We start from the raw sequence: 20,662 nt of genomic DNA on the forward strand, positions 1-20,662 counted from the left end.
TTCATATAAGTAGAATCATACAATATGTAGTCTTTTATGTCTGGCCTCTTTCATTTAATGTAATGTTTTTAGGTACTTCATTCATGTATGTCATTGTTTTTTACTGCCAAATAATTTTCCATTGTAAGGATTTATATCACATAGTTGGTGAATTTAATCCATTTACACTTACAGTGATTACTGATAGGAAAGGACTTCTGTTGTTACTTGTTTTCTATTTGTGTTATCTTTTTATGTTCCTCAGTTTCTCCTTTGTGCCCTTCTTTGTTTTTTTTCCACGCCCCTCCAATTGATTTTTTTTGATGTACCTTTTTTATTCCCTCAAATTATTTTCTGTGCATACTGTTTACTTATTTTCTTAGTGATTATATGTGGATTACAATGAACATCCTAATCTTATAACAATCTATTTGAAGTGATACTAACTTTGCTTCAGTAGCATACAAAATCGTACAGCCCACACCTCCCTCATCTTTGTTATTTTTGCAAATGACATCTTTATGCATTCTGTGCCCATTAATATAGATTTATAAGCATTTTATGCATTTATAAGTTTAATTATATAGGAAGCAAACACAGGAGTCACGAACTCAACATACAATAATACTGACTTTTATGTTTACCTACATAGTTAGCTTCATTGGAATTCTTTATGTCTTCATATGGCTTTGAGTTACTTTCTACTTTCTTATTTCAGCCTAAAGGGCTGTCTCTTAGCATTTCTTATGAGTCAGGTCTGACTAGTGATGAACTCTTTTTGCTTTTGTTTATTTAGGATTTTAAAAATTTCTCCTTCATTTTTAAAAGATAATGTTGCCAGATAGAAAATTATTGGTTGACAGTTTTTTTTTTCTGAATATTATAAATGTCTGCTCTTTTTGGCCTCTGTGGTTTCTGATTAGGATTATTAATCTTAATGAAAATTCTGTTATGTGATAAGTTGTTTCTGTGGCTGTTTTCAAGATTCTGTCTTTATCTTTCAATGGTTTGATTATAATGTGTTTAATTGTGGATATCTTTGAGTTTATTATATTTGGATTTCATTGAGCTCCTTGGTTGTGTAGATTTATGTCTTTCATCAAGTTGGGGAAGTTTTCAGCCATTTTATCTTCAGCTATTCTTTCTGTCGCCTTCTCTTTTTTCCTTCTGAGATTGTACTGGCATACCTCATTTTATCATGCTTCAAAGATAATGCATTTAAAAAAATATATTAATAGATTTGTGGCAACCCTGTGTCAGGCAAGTCTGTTGGCACCATTTTTCCAACAGCATGGTGCTTACTTTGTATCTCTGTGTCACATTTTGGTAATTCTCACAGTATTTCGAACTTTTTCAATATTATGTCTATTATGGTGATCTGTGATCAGTGATCTTTGCTGTTACTGTTAAAATTGTTTTGGGGCATCATTAACGATGTTCATGTAAGACTATAAATGTAATGAGTAAATGTTGCGTGTTTTCTACTGCTGCTCTGCCCGACTGCTCTTTCCTTCTCCTTGGGCTTTCCTGTTCTCTGAGAAACAGCAATATGGAAATTAAGCCAATTAATAACCCTACAGTGGCCTCTTAAGTGTTCAAGTGAAAGGAAAAATTGCATGTCTTTCACTTTAAGTCAAAAGCTAGAAATGATTAAGCTTACTGAGGAATGCATGTCAAAAGCTAAGATAGGCTGAAGGCTAGGCCTCTTGCCTCAAACAATTAGCCAAGTTGTGAATGCAAAGAAAAAATTCTTGAAATTAAAAGTGCTATTCCAGTGAACACACAAATGATAAGAAGTAAAACATTCTTATTGTGGATATGAAGAAAGTTTGAAAGGTTTCGATAAAACATAAAAGCAGCCACAATATTTCCTTAAACCAAACCTAATCCAGAGCAGGACCCTAACTCTCTTCAGTTCTGTGAAGGCCGAGAGAAGTGAGGAAGCTGCCAAAGAAAAGTTTGAAGCTTGCAGAGATTGGTTCGTGAGGTTTAAGAAAAGAAGCCATCTCTGTAACATATAAGTGCAAGATGAAGCAGCAGATGTTGATGGAGAAGCTGCAGCAAGTTATTCAGAAGATGTAGCTAAGATCATTGAGGAAGGTGGTTGTACCGAACATTTTCAATGTAGATGAAACAGCTGTATCTTCTGAATAACTTTCTGTATACTCGAATCAGAAAGTTAGCAATTTATGTAAGCATCTACCACGGGATAAAATTAATTTCATATATCGTTTTCAGTAATACGTAACATAACACTTGGTTGGTTTGGCTTTGAGTGTTAGTAAGTTAAATACATGAAGATTTTAAATTACATTTTTCTTCATTTGCATAAACAGTGAGGTATGTTAATTTTTGAGAACAGAAGTAAGAAATTTTATCATGATCAGGCAGCTACAGGTGAATATTTTGGAAGATTGTTTTCTGGGGAGAGAAATCCATTTCTAATCTGCATTTTAATGATTTGCTTTTAATTCTAGACTCGAGAGGTGATTGCCTTATCAGTGTACCGTATGTCAAACCGTTCTTTAGCTTAAGAACTTATTTGTAGCTGCCAGTTGTTCCATATTAACCTGAATTTTTAAAAGTACTTTCTGCCTTTCAGGAAACCTTTGTGACTGGCATTTGATTTCTTTCTCTCTAGTGTTTTATGGGAATAATAATCTTGTGAATTTTCCAATCATTTTTATTGTGTACATGTTAAATATTTAGACTGTGGATTATATAGTCGTCTTGATTCTTATTTATATTCTGATTTTTGAACTGTTTTATAGCATATTCACACCTCCACCAGACTGCTTGAAGAAGAATGAAAGTGAAAATCAGTTTTCTTGTTCATTAACAGGTCTTCTGAGGGTTTAATACTTAAACTTCTGGCTGGCTGTCATGGGGCTGCCTGATTCTTTGATTTCACTTTATCCTACCTTTCCCTCTCTCATGAATGCAATGAATAATGACTCTAATATCTTTCTTCTCAGACGAATTAAATTGTGACTTTATTAAACTGTAATAGGCTTGCCTAATTTATTAAATTCCACCTTTTCTTTCCCTCTACTCCCTCAAAACTACTTCCTAGGAAAACTCTTGCAATCACTATTAAGAGAAAATAACTTGTGACTTAGAAAGTATTCGTATTCAACAGATAGTTGAAATCTTTGCAGATTGGGACATTGTAAGATTTAGACAAATTTCATGATCATTTGAGTTTTAGTTGCAAATTTATAATGATATAGGAAAAAATTAGGGTCCTGAGCTCCTTTTTCTTCCACATCAGCTTGTCTGTTCCACCAGACAAGGGCTCTCTTAAGTGATTGTTGTTCTGAGGCTGAAACCAAAGAGCTAGGTTGCTGACAGAGCCATGAAATCATGCTTTTCTCTTTTTAAAAACAACAGATTAAAAAAAAAAATTCCTTCTCTGTTAGTCACTTCATGTTAGTATTTATCCATGTTTAAGATTTACATTTAAAGCAAAAGTCTTCAAAGGGAAAACATGAGTTTTACTTCTCTTACAGAAGGAATTCTGTAAATTTCTACAAGTATTTTTAAATATTAGTGGGTCTCTTTCCTAATTAAGATCTTGGAAAGTTACGTGCAACTCTGACTGTTGTAACAAGCATTAAATATGAGCTTGCTAAATAAAATGAACCTTATATAAATTTACTTGTAATTCAGATAATACATAATTTTTTACATATCTTTGCTTTATGTGTTATACTGTCTTTTTCTATAAGTGGTTACAAAATTGGGGAGGAGAAATAATTTGCAGATTGATCCTCTAAATAATTAAGAGGAATCTGGAGTTAAAGTCTTTCAACACTGGAATTTTATCTGCATAGTGTTGTACCTCTATAACGTTGGATGAGTTACTTAACCTTTCAGTGCCTGTAAAACAGATAATAATAGTAATTACTTGCCTCATAGGAGTTGTTAGTAGGATTAAATGTGATAATTTAGCATAGATATGTAGCATAGTGCCTAGCAGATGGTAAGCAATGAAATGTCAGCTGATTTTTAGTATTGGCATTATCTTTGAAGAAGGGCCCATTTTAAGATTTGTTTCTCTTACCTTGCTAATAAATGTGTTAGTGTGAAAAGTTAAATAGTTCCAAGGTTAACGTGGAAATAAAAGTCAAATAAATATGTTTCTTTAATAAAGAAAAATTCACTTGCCTTTGAACATGACAGGTGTTTTTTAAATCTTCAGTTGCGTTAAGGTAATGAACTCAGATTTATTAACTGGTTTGTGTTTGTATACACAATTAATGTTAAATGCAAAATCCTTTAAAGTCTAAATGACTATTGATCTGTATTTTAAAGAATAATTTTTGTAAGCTTATTTTGATACTAAAATGCATTCCACTGTCATATTATCTAAACTTCTGGGAAATGCTAGCACAATTTTGTCTCTTTGGAGTTATATTTATTTTCATGATGAATATTTTAAAACTTAACAACCTATTGTAAACTGTTATTTTTGCAGTTATGTTTGCCTAACACACAAACACACCAAGCATGTTCCTGTCCCCAAGGTCTTTGTACTTTTTGTTGCCTTTACATGAAATCCACTCTCCCTAATTATGGCCCAGCCTTGGAGCTCTCAGGTCTGTCAGGGCTCTGCAGAGGATTACCTGGTTTTGGGGAATGTTTTCTTCTAAAATGTGGCTCTATCTTTATTATGTTTGTTGTTTTCCCTCTACCTGGCATTATGTTATATACTCGTGCTTGTTTAAAATCACTTTCCCATTAATATCCAAGGGTAGAAACTTTGTTTCATTCACTGCTGATTATCCTACTGTGTATGATAAAGCACAGGGCCTGGCACATTGTAAGCAGTAATAAATATTTGTTAAGTGAATGTAGGAATGTTGTTGATCAAATTAAAACAGTTTTGTTGAGGAGATGAAGATTCTGTGAACCAATTTTTAATAATCATTTTACGTGAGGTTATTTGAGGTTTTTATGCTCAGAAGTGAACCATTTGAAAAGATGTAATTTATAACTTTTCACCCCCCACCAAAAGAAAAGAAAAAGAAGATTTAAATTTAGAATACTTGGTACATAGTGTGAACTGAGAGTTAAGAAAGGCCTGATTGAGAATACTGACTCAGCCTAAAATATCAGTGATACTGTGCAGTAATTTATCCTGTTTTCTTACCAGGAGCTTGCTCAGTGCCTAACACTGATAGTCAGTAAATGTTTGTTGGGTGAATGAATGAGCCTGTAAAATCAGTAAAGTCATGAACTAATTCCTAGTTTCTTACAGAGTATCCTAAGGACCCTTGAATAAATGCTTCTGGAATAAAATGGATGGAAATTTGCAACAGAATCACCTGGAGGGCTTGTAAATACTGTCTGTTAGGTTTACTTTTTCCACCCTGTGTTTGAGGTGGAGCAAAGGACTCTTAACTTCTAACAAGTTCTGAGGTAGTGGATGTGATGCTGTCCTCCTTTCAGAAGCTTTGCTGTATATCTGTATTCCTGTTGAGGTGATTCATGTTAATGTATTGAAGGTTTTGAGAGCACTGCAGTAGAGGAAGCTGTTTAACTCTTAACTATTTCTGACTTACTTGGCCCTAGTCCTCTCCCTCACTTGTTCGTATGTATGTATGTATGTATGTATGTATGTATGTATGTATATATGTATGTATGTGTGTATGTATCTATACTCATAAAATTGTTTTTTTTTTCTTTTTTCTGTATGCTTGGGTAGGTAAATACTGTGTCAGGAGTGAAGCCTTCAAAACTGAGCCCTGTTGCAGAGTTGGAAGATATTATGATAGTTATGATCTGCATGAAAGCATTTGTATACATTTTTGAGTCTTGCAAATTGTAATTTGGAATAAACGGCATGTATAACAATAATGATTTTATGAAAATTGATTCCAAAATGATGAAATGATTTCTAAGTAACATTTTTCCCCTTTATTCATTTATCACTTTCAGTCATCGTCGATGGTTTTAATCTGCCAAGCCATATTTCCAGAACTTTAGGTACTTGACAAAATTAGGAAATAATATTTTGTCATGAAAAGTTGAGTTTTCTCTAGATGAAGATTGAGTCTTAGCTAGTGTCAAATTTTTCCTAGTTGTATTTTCAATTTTAGGCTAATCTAGTCTCATGGTACAGCATTCTACTTTGCATGTCTTAGATTTTGTTGACTTAATTGTATTTTAAAATATGATTGTACTGATTCTGGTCTTTTAGAGTGATGGTTTTGATACAAGATGTGGCTAATCAATGGAAAAGGGATGTTTGAGGAAGAAGTGATGATGGTTATGAACTCTAGAGATGTTAAATGTAGCACAAAATTTGAATCTGGGATTCTTTATGTTCCCTAAGGCTGTGGATCTTTCCATTGATGAGTCCAGCTTGACAGGTGAGACAACGCCTTGTTCTAAGGTGACAGCTCCTCAGCCAGCTGCAACTAATGGAGATCTTGCATCGAGAAGTAACATTGCCTTTATGGGAACACTGGTCAGATGTGGCAAAGCAAAGGTAAATTTTTTTCCTGATTTGAAAAAAGCAGTTCCTTTGTTTGAAACTATTTTCTCAATTATTTTTTGCTGATTTTATGTGGAATTTTTCAAATACATGACAAAGGATAAAATTGAACTTAACCCATTACATCTATTTGTGAAACTGGGGAGAATCTGTGTCCCCAAAGTATAATATTTCCGTAGTTCTGCTATTTCCCAGATAATGGATAATCCTCAATACCTGTTTCTTTTTAAAGAGAGAAACAGTGTTTTCATGGATGTGTTTATTATTAAATAAATTTTAATTTAGTTAATATGATACTGGCTATAATAATCTGACTATATGTTGTTCACCTGTTGATCGATTTCAAATGCTTCCTTTCCTGAATTCTGATACTCCACCAGTGCAAAAGACACCATTCACTAGGGGTAAAAAGAAACTATATTAAATGTCTCCTATTGAGTATAATACATGTTTGTATTTCAGAAATACTAATATAGGCAAAAAATAGGCCTCAGAATTGAGTCTGCTATACGTTTTTTTTTGAGACGGAGTCTCACTTTGTCGTCCAGGCTGGAGTGCAGTGGCGTGATCTTGGCTCACTACAACCTTCACCTTCCAGGTTCAAGTGATTCTCCTGCCTCAGCCTCCTGTGTAGTAGGGATTACAGGCATGTCCCACCATGCCTGGCTAATTTTTTGTATTTTTAGTAGAGATGGCATTTCACCATGTGGGCCAGGCTGATCTCGAACTCCTGACCTCAAGTGATCCACCCGCCTCGGCCACCCAAAGTACTGGCATTATAGGCGTGAGCCACAGCACCCGGCCAGCAATACGTTTAATGTAATGTTTGTTTCCAGAGTTTAAATCATAAGGGGCAAATGCTAATGACAGGAACATAAAAAAGTAAATTTGCTGAGGAAATCTTAGGAGTGTGTATGTTAGACATCTTCACTGTAGGTAAGACTTTGAAAGTTGTTGGATGTGTGTGTGTATGTGTTTTGGTTTACATTTCATCTGGATGTAAATGTATTTTCCTGTTTTTCCCCTTAGGGTGTTGTCATTGGAACAGGAGAAAATTCTGAATTTGGGGAGGTTTTTAAAATGATGCAAGCAGAAGAGGTGAGTACTTAATATGTTAATGATGTATTTGTTCCAAATCTGAAATTCTTCATTGTAAGTAGAGAATGTTGGATTATTTTATATACTATTGAGAGCAATATTTTATTCAGAATGGAAATCAGTTGTCTCTGTTTAGAAACATAATTGGAAAGCCTGTAATTGAAAAGGTCTAAATTGATGTTGTTAGTATTCTAAAGGATTTTGAGCTTTACTCATTGTTTATAGCAGAAAAAGGCTTATAGCCACTTATTTGTAGATCTTATTATTTTCAGAAATTAGTGTTGTGGTAATTTTAAGGATTAGTAATTAGTATATTTGTACCTTGGAATATGTCTTCTATCAAATTTTTTCAACTTCACATAATTCCAAGTAAGGGTGGCAGGGAAAAGATTGCCAAGTAAAATAACCTACAAGATATTCTCGGCTAAAAGTATTAAAGATGAGTTCATTTTAAATACTTTCTTATTATAAAAAGAAGCTTCATTCTGCAAATGTCGTGTTCTCCCCAAATCCTCTGGATTTCTCAGGTAACCTGCCAAAACTCCAGTATGCGATGCAAAGTGGGAACTCATTCCAAGAGGCGTGGCAGTGAAGGGATGAATAGAGAAGAGGGTTAGCAGTTGAGGGAGGATTAAAAGACCTGGGTTACTAGCATGTTTGTGGATACCAAAAGGGAAAAATTGGAAAAGCAAGTGAGAGAGCAGCTGATGGTAATGAAGTCCTGCAGTGGTTGGTAGGAGGGAGAACAGATTTTTCCTCAAAAGGAAGCATAGAGAGAACGGACCTTTTCAAATAATAAACAGGTTTTTAAAAATAGAGAATTTCTGTTCCTCACTGTGTGACCTTGGGCATTGTGTAAAATCTAAGTCTCAGTTTTCTCAGTGAAGGTGATTATTTACCTTATGGGAGAGTTGTATGGTTAACTTAGGAATTGCTTTGTCAAGCACTTAGCAAGCCCCTGGCACTTGATAAAGCTTAGTAAATATAGCTAATTGTGGTGACACTCTTCTTCAATTTATCAAGGCACCAAAAACCCCTCTGCAGAAGAGCATGGACCTCTTAGGAAAACAACTTTCCTTTTACTCCTTTGGTATAATAGGTAAGAGAAGAGTGAGTATGTATATATTTTTATTTGAGTTTTGTTTTTTGAATGTGAAGGGTGGTGGTATTCTAGTTTTATTTATTGGCTTTTCTTTTTTTTATTAAGTTTAATACTTTTTAAAATTATAAGACTACTAGTAGCCATTGTTCATTTCAACAAAGAAAAAATAGAACTCTGATTCTTGTAATCAGAAAATATTTCTTGAAACATTTTAGTATTTGTCTTTCTAGTCTTCAACAAGAATGTAATACGATAGTTTTATGGACTGCTTTTCTATTTTTATTTCACATATCCTGTCATAAAACTCTTGTCATTAAATTGATGGTCACATAAAACAAACATAAAGGTTGTATAGTTTTCTATTTTGTGGGAAAACATATAAGAAGACCTCTTCTAGACATTTAGGATTTTTTGAGGGTTTTTTTTTGGTCATATAAATACTTCTTTAGTGTGGTGTCTTCTGGTAAATACCTCTCTTTTTTAAGGAAAAATTCTTAGAAATAAAATTATTTAGTCAAAGGGGATCCATGTAACTTTTAAATTTTTGGCCAGCTTTAAGTATTGTCATTAACTTCAACTGTAAATAAAAGAGTTCTCATTATTTGATTTCACAGTTCATTATTAGGGAAACCGAATGCTTTGTCATGTGTGGGTTGATCATTTTTATTTCATTTTATGACCTGCCAACGATTTCTTTTGTCCCTTTTCTTGTGTCTTGAGTCTTAGATTGATAAAAGCTTTTTATATGACTAGATTATCAATCTTTTTGTTGTATAAGTTTTTTTTTCCCGTTTAAGTTGCCTTTGAGGCATGTGGAATAAACTTGGTAAGAGGACAATATATGTAATTAACCATTTATGCCTAGTGTTCCATTATTGGAATGCTAAGCATGTGGGACTTATTTATATCCTACTGCTCAAGGTCATTGCCAAGGTCTGGTTGCAAAAATTCAAAAAATTGCAACCTCAGACACAAATGGGTTAAAACATCCCCTTTTCCTTGAGATTCTGTTATCACCCTCCTATTGATAATCTCTGCAATTAAGTTGGTTTTGTTCTGTTCCTAAAGATTTTCCCAACCTCATGTTTATAAGAACATTTATTAAAACATTGTTGTATAGTTTTTTATTTTTGACATTTTACTATTTTATTTAAAATTTATTTTAGTACATGGCTTAAGGCAGAGTTTTAACTTTTTTACTCAAGTTAATTATCCCATTAATTCTGTAATCCAGTCTTTATTCATTGGATTGAAGTCACGTTTTTATCACACATTAAGCACTTGCATTAATTTTGGAGTCTTTTCTCCTTTAATTTTCTTACCGTGTTAATTATTCCAGCTAGTTTAGTATTTCAAAGTCAGTAATACAATTTTTTTATTTGAGATGGAGTCTCATTCTTGTTGCTCAGGCTGAAGTGCAATGGCGCAATCCCGGCTGACTGTAACCTCCACCTCCTGGGGTTCAAGTGATTTCCCTGCCTCAGCCTCCCGAGTAGCTGGGATTACAGGTGTGCACCACCACACCTGGCTAATTTTTTTATTGTATTTTTAATAGGGACGGGATTTTACCACATTGGCCAGGCTGGTCTCAAACTCCTGAACTCATGTGATTGCCCACCTCAGCCTCCCAAAGTGCAGGGATTACAGGACTAATGCAATTTTAAAGCAATATTTCTGTTAATACAATATTAGTTGAAATAACTTTGTAAATAGTAATTCTGTTTATCCATCTATCTTCATTGTAAACATAAAGTAGAAGGTAGGAAGTTATCTTAGTTATTTTTGTTTTACTGGTGTGTATGCCCTCATAACTTCTTCCGTTTGATTATTGCTCATTTTCTAGAAATTTTATAGTGAATTTGATAGATCGAATGACATTCTAGCCAATTAAATCTTTGTAGTTTCTATTAGCACTATACCATAAACCATTTCAAATTTAGTAATAAATATGTTTCAACTTTACGATCTCTGGTTATATGTTAGTATATTACATTGGACATAATTTTTCTTGCCAAGGTCAAGAGCTAGATCAGGGGTCAGCAATTGTTTTTTTTTGTTTTTTGTAAAGAACTAGATAGTAAATATTTTAGTCCATATGGTCTCTGTTGGAAATACTTTACTTTGCCATTAGCATGAAAGCAATCATAGAAAATATGTAAATAAATGAGTGTGGCTATGTTCCAACAAATTTCATTTACCTAAGCAGACAGGAGACCCACAGATTATAGTTTGCTGACCCCTGGTATAATCCTTTGGACATAATTTCTTTCATCATGATAGTATTTGGGATAGGATCTTAGAAGGTTGCTATTTGGATAATTATTCTTTAGTTATATAAAGATGAAAAAAAAAACTTGTCTTAAATGTTCATATTGATTTGCAGTCTTGAGATAGCTTATTTTATCAAACCTCTCGTGAATCTGTTTGCTTTTTCCTCACAAACCTGCTTGTGCGCCCCTTTCCCCCTATTCTTTTCAAAGATAAAAGGTTAAAGCAAGGAGTATTGGTTTAATTGATTTTTAAATTTTTGAAATGCCATAAAAGTAGTGATTTTTAGATGTTAATGCAGTTGTAGGTGCTTAACGTAAGGCACATCACTTTTTGAGCCAAGTCGTAAGTGTCCCTTTGTGTGTAGTATGGATTTGCTGAGAAGTGTCTGGATATTGTGTTATGGAAAATAAAGTTTTAGGGTTTAATTTTGCATATTTGATATTAAATAGAAGACCTATATGTTTGCTGCCACCTTCTTTTTTTCATTGTATGAACATACTGGTAATTTTTAAAAAAATAATAAAATATTACTGCTTTAAGGGATGGTAGGAGCAGTGTCAACCAAAAGTAAAACTGTGTGTGTGTGTGCATGTGTGGTGTGTGTGTGCACACATGTACGTATGTGAGTATGCACAGCATTCACATTAAGCAGTGTTAACTTTAACCTCCCCTGTTTAATGGATTTTTATAAAATCTTCTAATTGTGATCTGATATGCTTTCCCTTTTTTGTCAAGGGACGTTTTAGATTCCTTCAGCTTGTTCTGTTCCTTCTAGGTGATTGTATGTAAAAGGGAAAAATAACTATTTAATTATCTTTCAGGAATCATCATGTTGGTTGGCTGGTTACTGGGAAAAGATATCCTGGAAATGTTTACTATTAGTGTAAGGTAAGTCTCAATACTTTATAATTGGAGTCTCTTTTGCCTCTTTTATTTCTCTAATGGACATAGCTTACGTTTTATTATGGAGATCAGTATTACATGGAGCCCATAAGAGTATAACATCGCTACATAAATAGTTCAGAAGTCATATATTAAAATTATCCTTAGAAAAATGAAAATGTATGTATATGGTAATGAAGAAAACCCATACTAGATGTCTGGAATTACTAATGCATTATTGCCTTTTTATATATAAATATACAATTAAGGATTGTCAAATTGAAAACTAGCAACATGAAAGAGAAAGTTCACAATATAGAAATTGAATAATCAATTTCAGAGGAAAACGAAACATTGAAGAAATGATGACAAATTTAAAAACCAAGTGTTTGTATTTTCAGAGACTTGTGAAGAAACTGCATCCATGAGATAAATTGTTGTAGAAAAGGATCAGAGAACAAAAAGAGTTTTTAGAAATTAAGATTATGATTGTTGAAATTAAAAATTCAATTGTAGGGGTGTAATATAAATTCAAAGAGGTCTCCCCCCAAAAAGAGTAAAAAGTCTTAGAATGAGATAAAATGATGAAGAGGAATAATTTCAGGAAATACCACTTGTAACTAATTGGAGTTTCAAAAATTACATAAGATATGACACACAAGTATTTTCTCAAGCTAAGGCAAAAAGTAAGTCTTTATAGATTGAAAGGATTCACTAAATACCAAGCAGAATGGAAAAAACTTCAACCTTGATACATAATTGTGAAACTAAAGAAGAAAAGTCAGGTCATCTACAAAGGAAGGGTAACTACGCTGGCATCAGACTTCTCATTAGCAACTGCAGTTTCTACCACAGGATCTTTTTGGGTTCTTCTAAACATTCCAACTCACAAGACTTTCACAGACCACATCTGATACCTGTGCCCTGAACACAGCAGGGTAACTTCAGGCAGCCTTCTCCTGAGAGTCCGCAGCAGTCCATGTAGCAATTCACTCAAGTACAAGGAGATAAGGTCAACCTTGTGAGTGTGGGATCTACCTTGGGTTAAAATATCTCGTGTTCTATGAGAGACGTATTTTGAAACATGCATTTCCAGATGCCTGCAAAGGACATGTCTAGTTACAAGTTACTACACTTGAGAAACTCAAAGCTATGATTTCCTATAAGATAATTATAACTTTCCTAGTCCAGAGAGATTTTATTAGTCAGGGGATCCCTTAATCATAGCAGTGTTATCTAGCAGCATACTTGACATATTATTCTTACCAGGTCACTAGGTGAACAGAACTAGAGTTAATCAAATCCAGAAGGGGAAGATTATTTTATTAACTGTTCATCCACAGCAACATCAGATTGCATTAGAATAAGTGGAGCCGTGGTAACAAATTAGGGGGGCAATTGATCATAAATCTGTAAATTGGGCCTAGCCAAAGGATTGGTCCAATTAGTGACAAATAGGTAGGCAAGTACTCAGAACATTCATTTCCTACCCATCCTTATATGAATTCCAGCAAAACAAGGGTGAAAGAAAGGAAGATGATAATAGACATAAGAAAGGGCAAGAACTTACTTAGGCATCTAAGAAAAAGAAATCCTGGTAGACCTCTGTTGTAGGCATATGAAATATTTCAAATATTAGAACAAAAGTCAATGTCTTTCAAAAAGAAAAGTCAAATAGATTACAAGGAATCAGAATGAATAAGAAGTAAAAAGATATTTGTGATATAGTGAAAGAATGTGTTTTTTTTTTTCTCAAGGGAGGGGGTGAAAATGCAATTTGAAACTCTTGGTTTAAATTTGTGTTTAAAAACGCCATGGGTTAAATATAAAATACATTTAAAATGGGGAATAAGTTTGAGATATTAAACATTGACATATTATCCATTGGATCATTTTTAGTTTTTGAGGATTTGGGTTTTTTTTTTTTTGAGTTCTGTTTGTACAGATTGACATATCATAACTTCTGTTCTTTCTTCAAGGTCTTCCAAAGGACAAGATACTTAAAAATTTTCAAATAGAATAAAACTCATTCTATTTTGCAATTCTGTTTTGCAGTATGGATCCATTGGAATCTTTTATAAGTATAAGCTACATTATGGGACCTTTAATGATCCTATTTTTCCTCTTTCTTGAAGTATTTTACAATTTCTTCACCCTAGGAATTATTTTAACAATTATTTGCAAGAGTGCTGAAGATGACTAAAACAATAAGAAAGCAGAAAAATGATGGAATCATTGAGAAGGTTGATGTAATAATAAAGTAAATAATCACTATTCTCTTATTCTTTAGTTTTCTTATTGTGTTGCCTAAAGTATTGCATCATTTAAGAAGGTGTAAAAGAAGTCTAAAGGCACAATCTTTAGGTTTGTTTGTTACAGCTTTCATTGAACAAAAATGAGAATTCAGAATTTTTCACTTTCTACTATAATGGCAAAGAGAATAATTGACAGAGAAGACTTTTCACAATTATTAGACAAATCAGAAGATCAGTGCAAAGAGCCAAATAGAAGCACTGTAGGCCGTAATGATGTGGGTGAAATTAATAATATAAGTGAAATCTCAAGACTGAGTCTTTGGATGATGATACTCTAGATCTTCTCAAACACCTTAATTTTGATGAGTGAGCAATCTGTTTTTAAGGACAAAAAAGAAACAGGTATTCTCTTCCAGTTAATCATTCTGCAGCAAGGACTCTATCATGTAGTAGTTTTCAGCAAGAATCTGGACCATCTCTTTTAGCTAAACGAATGCATGACCCTATTTCATTCATCTTTTATGATGCTTGTTTATCAGCATTGACTTCATACTGCTTTTAAGTGGAGAAATGCTGAAGGCTGGTATGAATATAAAAGTGATTAAAAGGAAATAGATTATGCAGAAGTAGAAAAATTCATTGGATTCATCATTGTAATTGGTGTTTATAAATCTAAAATTGAAAATGTTTTGCAGTCATGGACCAAAGAAGATAACTGTTCTCTTTTCAACACAATTGGGAGCCATCAGTGGTTTTAGAAGTGTTGCAATTTGACAGAACAAATGCAAGAAAGAAGAACTAGATTAATAAGCTAGCGCCTGTTAGAAATATTTTTTGAAATCTGAAATCAATATTTATAAGATAAATATGTTCCAAGTTCACCAAAAGCAGTAGATGAGCAGTTAGTTGCATCCAAAAGATGTTACCCATTTCAGGTATAGATGCCTTCAAGTCCAGGAATAGTTTTGGGTTATCATTAAAATGAAAATTTAGAGTGAAGTTTTTTTACAATTTAATTATTCCTCTGCAAAGTTTTGCTAAGATGACTTAAATATAAAAGATTGAAAAGATTCGTTGTATCTAGATTGTAAGTGATAATGCCTGTTTTTCCTTAATGGAAGCATTAAAAAAAAAAAAAAAAAGAAAAGAAAAAAGAAAAAAAAGGATTCCATTTGAACTAGGAACATTCTCTTTGAGTAGCCCAAAGGAGAAAAGGAAGTATTAATGATAATACATATTTCTTGACTCTTCAGTGTGTATTGTTTAGCCAATAATGTTGTTGCTTATGTGCTTTCAACTTTAAAATCAACCAGTAAATAAAGCATGAAAAAGTCAATTACGGTTATAGAAAAGGATGCTAATGTACTAGATTATGCAAAGAAAAAGTTGGTAATGGAAATTAGGAAGTAGAAGCAGCAGAGGGAACAGTGGTAGAATGAAGGGTTAAATTGCTTATGTCCTTATTTCTAGCAGATCAAGAAATAGTATTTGGAATGGCACAAAGAAAGACTTGTTATTTTTTAATTATAAAAGGCGAGTGAAATAATTCTTTAAACTGTGATAAAATACGCATATTATAAAATTTACAGTTTTAAAGAGTTAATTTGGTGGAGTTAAGTATGGTCGCAATGTTTTACAACTGTTAACCGCTATCTAGATTCAGAACCTTTTCATCATGCCAGAAGAAAACCCTGTACACATTAAGCAGTCACTCCCCAGTTTTCCTCTTCCCCTAGTCCCTGGCAACCACTCACTAATCTGCTATCTCTATGGATTTGCCTATTCTAGATATTTCATATAAATGAAATGATATAATATGGGACCTTTTGTATCTGTCTTTTTTCACTTAGCATAATGTTTTCAAGGTTTATTCATGTTGTAGCATGTGTTAGTACTTCATTCCTTTTTGTGGCTAAAGTAATACTCCATTGCATGGATGTCACAATTTTACATTTATCAGTTGATGAATATTTGGCCTGTTTCCATCTTTTGGCTATCGTGAATAGTGTTGCCGTGAACATTCATGTATGAGTTTTTGTTTGAACATTTGTAGTTATCTGTATTTTATAGATGAGGACAGTAAACTACAGAGCTAGATTAGTAAGTAGCCCAGGATCACACAAGTAAGAGATGGTGAAGCCAGGGATACAAATCCAGGCAATTTGATGTCAGAACCTACATTTTTTAACCACTGTGCTTAACCTGGCAGCTACTAGGTATCCAGTAAATGTTAACTTTCTCTTCCTTTTGAGAAGTTTATTTTTTAGGTATTGACTATATTAATTTTGCGTTTTATTAAGCTTTAAGTAACATCCAATTTAAATTTTGCTGTGAGTGCTGTTTAACCTACATTTTAATACTTTGTATATGTTGGTTATAGTTTGGCTGTAGCAGCAATTCCTGAAGGTCTCCCCATTGTGGTCACAGTGACGCTAGCTCTTGGTGTTATGAGAATGGTGAAGAAAAGGGCCATTGTGAAAAAGCTGCCTATTGTTGAAACTCTGGGTAAGTCTGTGTTAAGAGCATTCTTATGCAATGATGCGTAAGTTTATGTCAATAGTGAATCATCTCAGAGTTTTACAGTTTTTATCTTAGAGATTTGCATAATGATGTTTGGCTTATGGCAAAATTGGATATGGTTTTAACAACCAAAAAAGGCAATTAAAAATTCCTATCCCTTAGGTGAGGGGACTTGAAGAGAAATCTTTCTACATCATGTTCTAATGCACAAATCATGTTAAGAAAATCCATACAACAACTGAAATCTTGGAGTAAAATTAATAGAATTTTTTTCTTGTGACATGTCAAAGAAGATAATGTATTATTACAGATCCCAAATGTCATACTTGAGTTGAATTTGCCTGTAAGAACAGTAAATTTACAGTAGTTATATTGCTGTAACAAAACTTTATGTGCAATATGCTTTGAAACTCCAAAAATGTACTGAATTTAATTTCTAGTTTGTATTTTAATATCTTCTCCATATATGAGAAGCTGAAATACCTTGAAAAATCCTGATTGAAGAAATTATACGGGTTTATATTTAGAAACTCTCCAAACTTTCTAGAAAAGATGTTATATAAGATCATTACATAAAGCTAATGTGAAGTAGCTTTGTAGAAACTAACTGTATATAAATAAGAACATGTCATCATCTAATTTTTATTTTTAATTTCAGAAACTGTACCTTATGCTGAAACAAGCATAATGAGAGAAGTTAATCTAAAATTAACAATGAGTTTGATTTCTATAAAATTCAGAGAAGTAGGACAGGATTCTAGTCTTTGATTTGTTTTTTAAGTGAACCTATATTTCTCCTTGATTCTTTTGGTGACTTGTAATGATTTAATTCTTTAGGCTGCTGTAATGTGATTTGTTCAGATAAAACTGGAACACTGACGAAGAATGAAATGACTGTTACTCACATATTTACTTCAGATGGTCTGCATGCTGAGGTACTCTATAGGTTTTTAAAAACAAACAAAAACAGTATCCCTTTAAGAAACTTGGTGTTTAACATTCCTAACAGTTCCAGTGTCTTACCTTCAAAAGGGCTGTAAATTAGTAGTGGAGTTATTTTCTCTCTCTGTGATTTTACCAAGTCTTTGTCTCATTCCACTTGTACACTTGTTCAATCCAAAAACTTTGATTCCTCCTTGACATCTCTCTTTCAGTCACCCCTTCATCTATCCATAATCAAATCCTACCAATTTTGACTTCCTAAAGAATTTTCCCAGCCATCTACTTTATAGCCAGCTTCTTTAAGTTACCGCCATTTCTCACCTGCCATTCTGATAAAGCTTTTTGACTGGTCTTTTTCCATTCTTGATGCCCTCACTCCATAAGCAGTTTGAGGGATCTTTTTAGAACCAAATTTTAAGCATGTCACTCCATAAATTAAGGTACTCCAATGGTTTTCCATTGTGATCAGGATCCTGAACTGTGGCGTCTCAAAGCCGTACATGTTCTGTCCCTTATTTTCTCCTCTACCCTTATATGCTACCCTTTGCTTTCTGTGCACCAAGTATACTGGCTTTATAGTTCTTTCGATGTGACACAATTATTCCTACTTTAAGAACTTTGCTGCCTTTGTCACTGTTTAGGATAGTCTAATGCCTCTTCATCCTTTGCACCTTAATTCCAACCCACTTCTTCAGAACACCCAGAAGTGGCCCTATGTTATATGTTGTCTTAGCATTTCATACCTCTTAGTCCTTATCTTAGGTAAAATTTTCTGTCCCTTTTCCCCATTATAAGAGAGCAGGAGCTATATTGCCTAGCACACAGCCTGCTTCATAGTAATAAATACTCGATAAATGAATGAATGAATGAATCACTTTATTTTAACAATTATATATTGATACATTGTCTCTTAAGTGCACATCACTGTGCAGTAGTTCTTCCTGAAGGTGCTTATGGACAGGTCTAATCCTACTCAGTCTATGCAGGATTTCTGACTGGAATGCTCTTAACACTACTTATGTTGGGTACAGTGATTTAAAATGTATTTATAGCTAATTCATTGAGAAAAATAAGCAGTAGGCAAATTGACAGAAGTTGTACTTGGGTTTATTTACGTCCATTTTACATAGGTTTTGAAAAGAGACTCTTGATATTTACGGTGTTAGATCTGGTCAAAGATCCCCCATGCTGTGTTGGTGAATGTGCCCTTTCTGGATGATTCAGAAGGGTCATTGGGATTACATGTGCTTATATGATCCAGGTATGGAAGGTAGAATATTAGTTTTTCTTTTGTTTTAAGGTCATGCTATATGTAATGCATTAACTATTTGTTAATTGTTTTATCTCTCAATTAATGTCATTAAACATTTTTTATTTATTTTTATTTTTAATAGAGATGGATCTTGCTTTGTTGCCCAGGCTGGTCTTGAACTCCTGGGCTAAAGTGATTCTCCTGTCCCAGCCTCCCAAGTGTTAGGATTACAGATGTGAGCCACCACACCTGGCCACTAAATTGTATGATTTTTATTGTGAAATTTCTTTTCGTTTGGCTTGGTTTGTTCTAGACATATGATATAAATACCTGGTTTGTCTCTACCTCTGATTTTTAAAATTGGTGTGTAATATGCTGTGTTAAAGTGATTTGTAAGTGCTAGCATATATCTCAATGTCTCCAGGCCTGCATGTTTGCAAAAAGAATACTGCTTTTGTCTAAGTCACAGCTTTGTGTTGTATGTTACATATGGTAATGCATTTGAGTTCTTTGCAAACTGTAGTATGCTATATAAGTGTAATGTCATATAAGTTTAAGCTTACTTATGTATATTTTCATAGCTTATTCTTTTAACAGTATATTGTAATTAGAAAACAATGTCTTTTTAGATTAATAATTGTGATGAGAATTAGAATCTATATTTCTTTACTAAATGTCCTTTTTAAAGACAAATTTTAATGCTTTTCTAGGTGAACACTTTTAACAGTGTCATTATAAATAAAATGAACAGAACTCATTATAGTTTTTGGGTTTTATAGGTCTTGTCACCACCAAGTGTTTGTAGTGTTTGTATTATTGATCCCACTTTGTGATCTTTAGGTTACTGGAGTTGGCTATAATCAATTTGGGGAAGTGATTGTTGATGGTGATGTTGTTCATGGATTCTATAACCCAGCTGTTAGCAGAATTGTTGAGGTAAATATTTTTTTTTCCAAGATGGTGACTTTCTTCATAATAACTTAAGACACAGTGATAGGTTCATAGTTTATGTGTATTTTTCTTAGGCGGGCTGTGTGTGCAATGATGCTGTAATTAGAAACAATACTCTAATGGGGAAGCCAACAGAAGGGGCCTTAATTGCTCTTGCAATGAAGGTACGTACCTAAATTTCTCTTCTTTGACATTTGAGACACTGCCCTCACAACAGAATGCAGTGTCATCAATTTCAGTATTACTGGTTTTTAGGTATTGAGTGAAAAAAACTCATACTATTTCATTGTTTTTACTATCTTTTAGGTATCAGTTTTATTCCTATAAATGTAAAGTATAGACTTTTTTCAGTATAACTTTATTGTTCACATGCAAGTTACAAACTAATGAGCAGTCATTGATTTCTTGTGAAGAAATGTTCCTGTCTTCCACAATGTTGAGATCTACATGTGAAATACTTTATAAATGTGTGTAATTGCTGATAAATACTAACTTTTGAATGAATAAAAGGCAACATTCTTTAGTATTTCTATGTAAAGATAATAACACAGTCATGAGAAAATAGCTTTGTTTTCCCAGTCTTTCCTTTCTCTCCTTTGTTAATTTCTCAAAATGATTGTGAAGTTATAATTTGTTTTGGGGAGAAGAAGTCTCAGTTAACTTTTCATCTGTCCCAATCCGTCTCCTTATCCCCTAAGTCCTATATTTGATTCAGTGAGAAACCTAGTAAGTCCAGCCTGTCACTCATAACAAAAATAACTATTCCTACCTTTAAGAGTATTCAGAGAAAATTTTGATACTTGTATAAAGCAAGAGGCTTCTAAATGAGGTTGCTTGAAATGAGAGACAGTACAGAATTACAGGTTATTATAACATATTTAATGAAATAAAATTGATAGTTTTAGAATATA

At 33.3% G+C, this 20,662-nt stretch overlaps 1 protein-coding gene across 23 annotated transcripts in view; it reads left to right on the forward strand.

Moving 5' to 3' along the window:
- The window catches only part of ATP2C1 (ATPase secretory pathway Ca2+ transporting 1), a 166,118-nt gene that overhangs the window by 96,910 nt on the left and 48,546 nt on the right, over positions 1-20,662 (forward strand). For 21 of the 23 annotated variants that reach the window (NM_001378511.1, NM_001199180.2, XM_047447960.1 and 18 more), the window contains 8 exons: positions 6,317-6,472; positions 7,508-7,576; positions 8,600-8,675; positions 11,771-11,837; positions 16,467-16,591; positions 17,444-17,541; positions 19,641-19,736; positions 19,826-19,915. In NM_001378511.1, coding sequence (NP_001365440.1) covers positions 6,317-6,472; positions 7,508-7,576; positions 8,600-8,675; positions 11,771-11,837; positions 16,467-16,591; positions 17,444-17,541; positions 19,641-19,736; positions 19,826-19,915 — 777 coding nt within the window. Of the gene's footprint in view, positions 1-6,316; positions 6,473-7,507; positions 7,577-8,599; positions 8,676-11,770; positions 11,838-13,990; positions 14,092-16,466; positions 16,592-17,443; positions 17,542-19,640; positions 19,737-19,825; positions 19,916-20,662 lie in introns of those variants that run through there. The other 2 variants (XM_011512686.3, XM_047447965.1) reach the window with 2 other exon arrangements.

The sequence above is a fragment of the Homo sapiens genome, chromosome 3 (genome assembly GCF_000001405.40).
Source record: "Homo sapiens chromosome 3, GRCh38.p14 Primary Assembly".
Classification (NCBI taxonomy): Eukaryota; Metazoa; Chordata; class Mammalia; order Primates; family Hominidae; genus Homo; species Homo sapiens.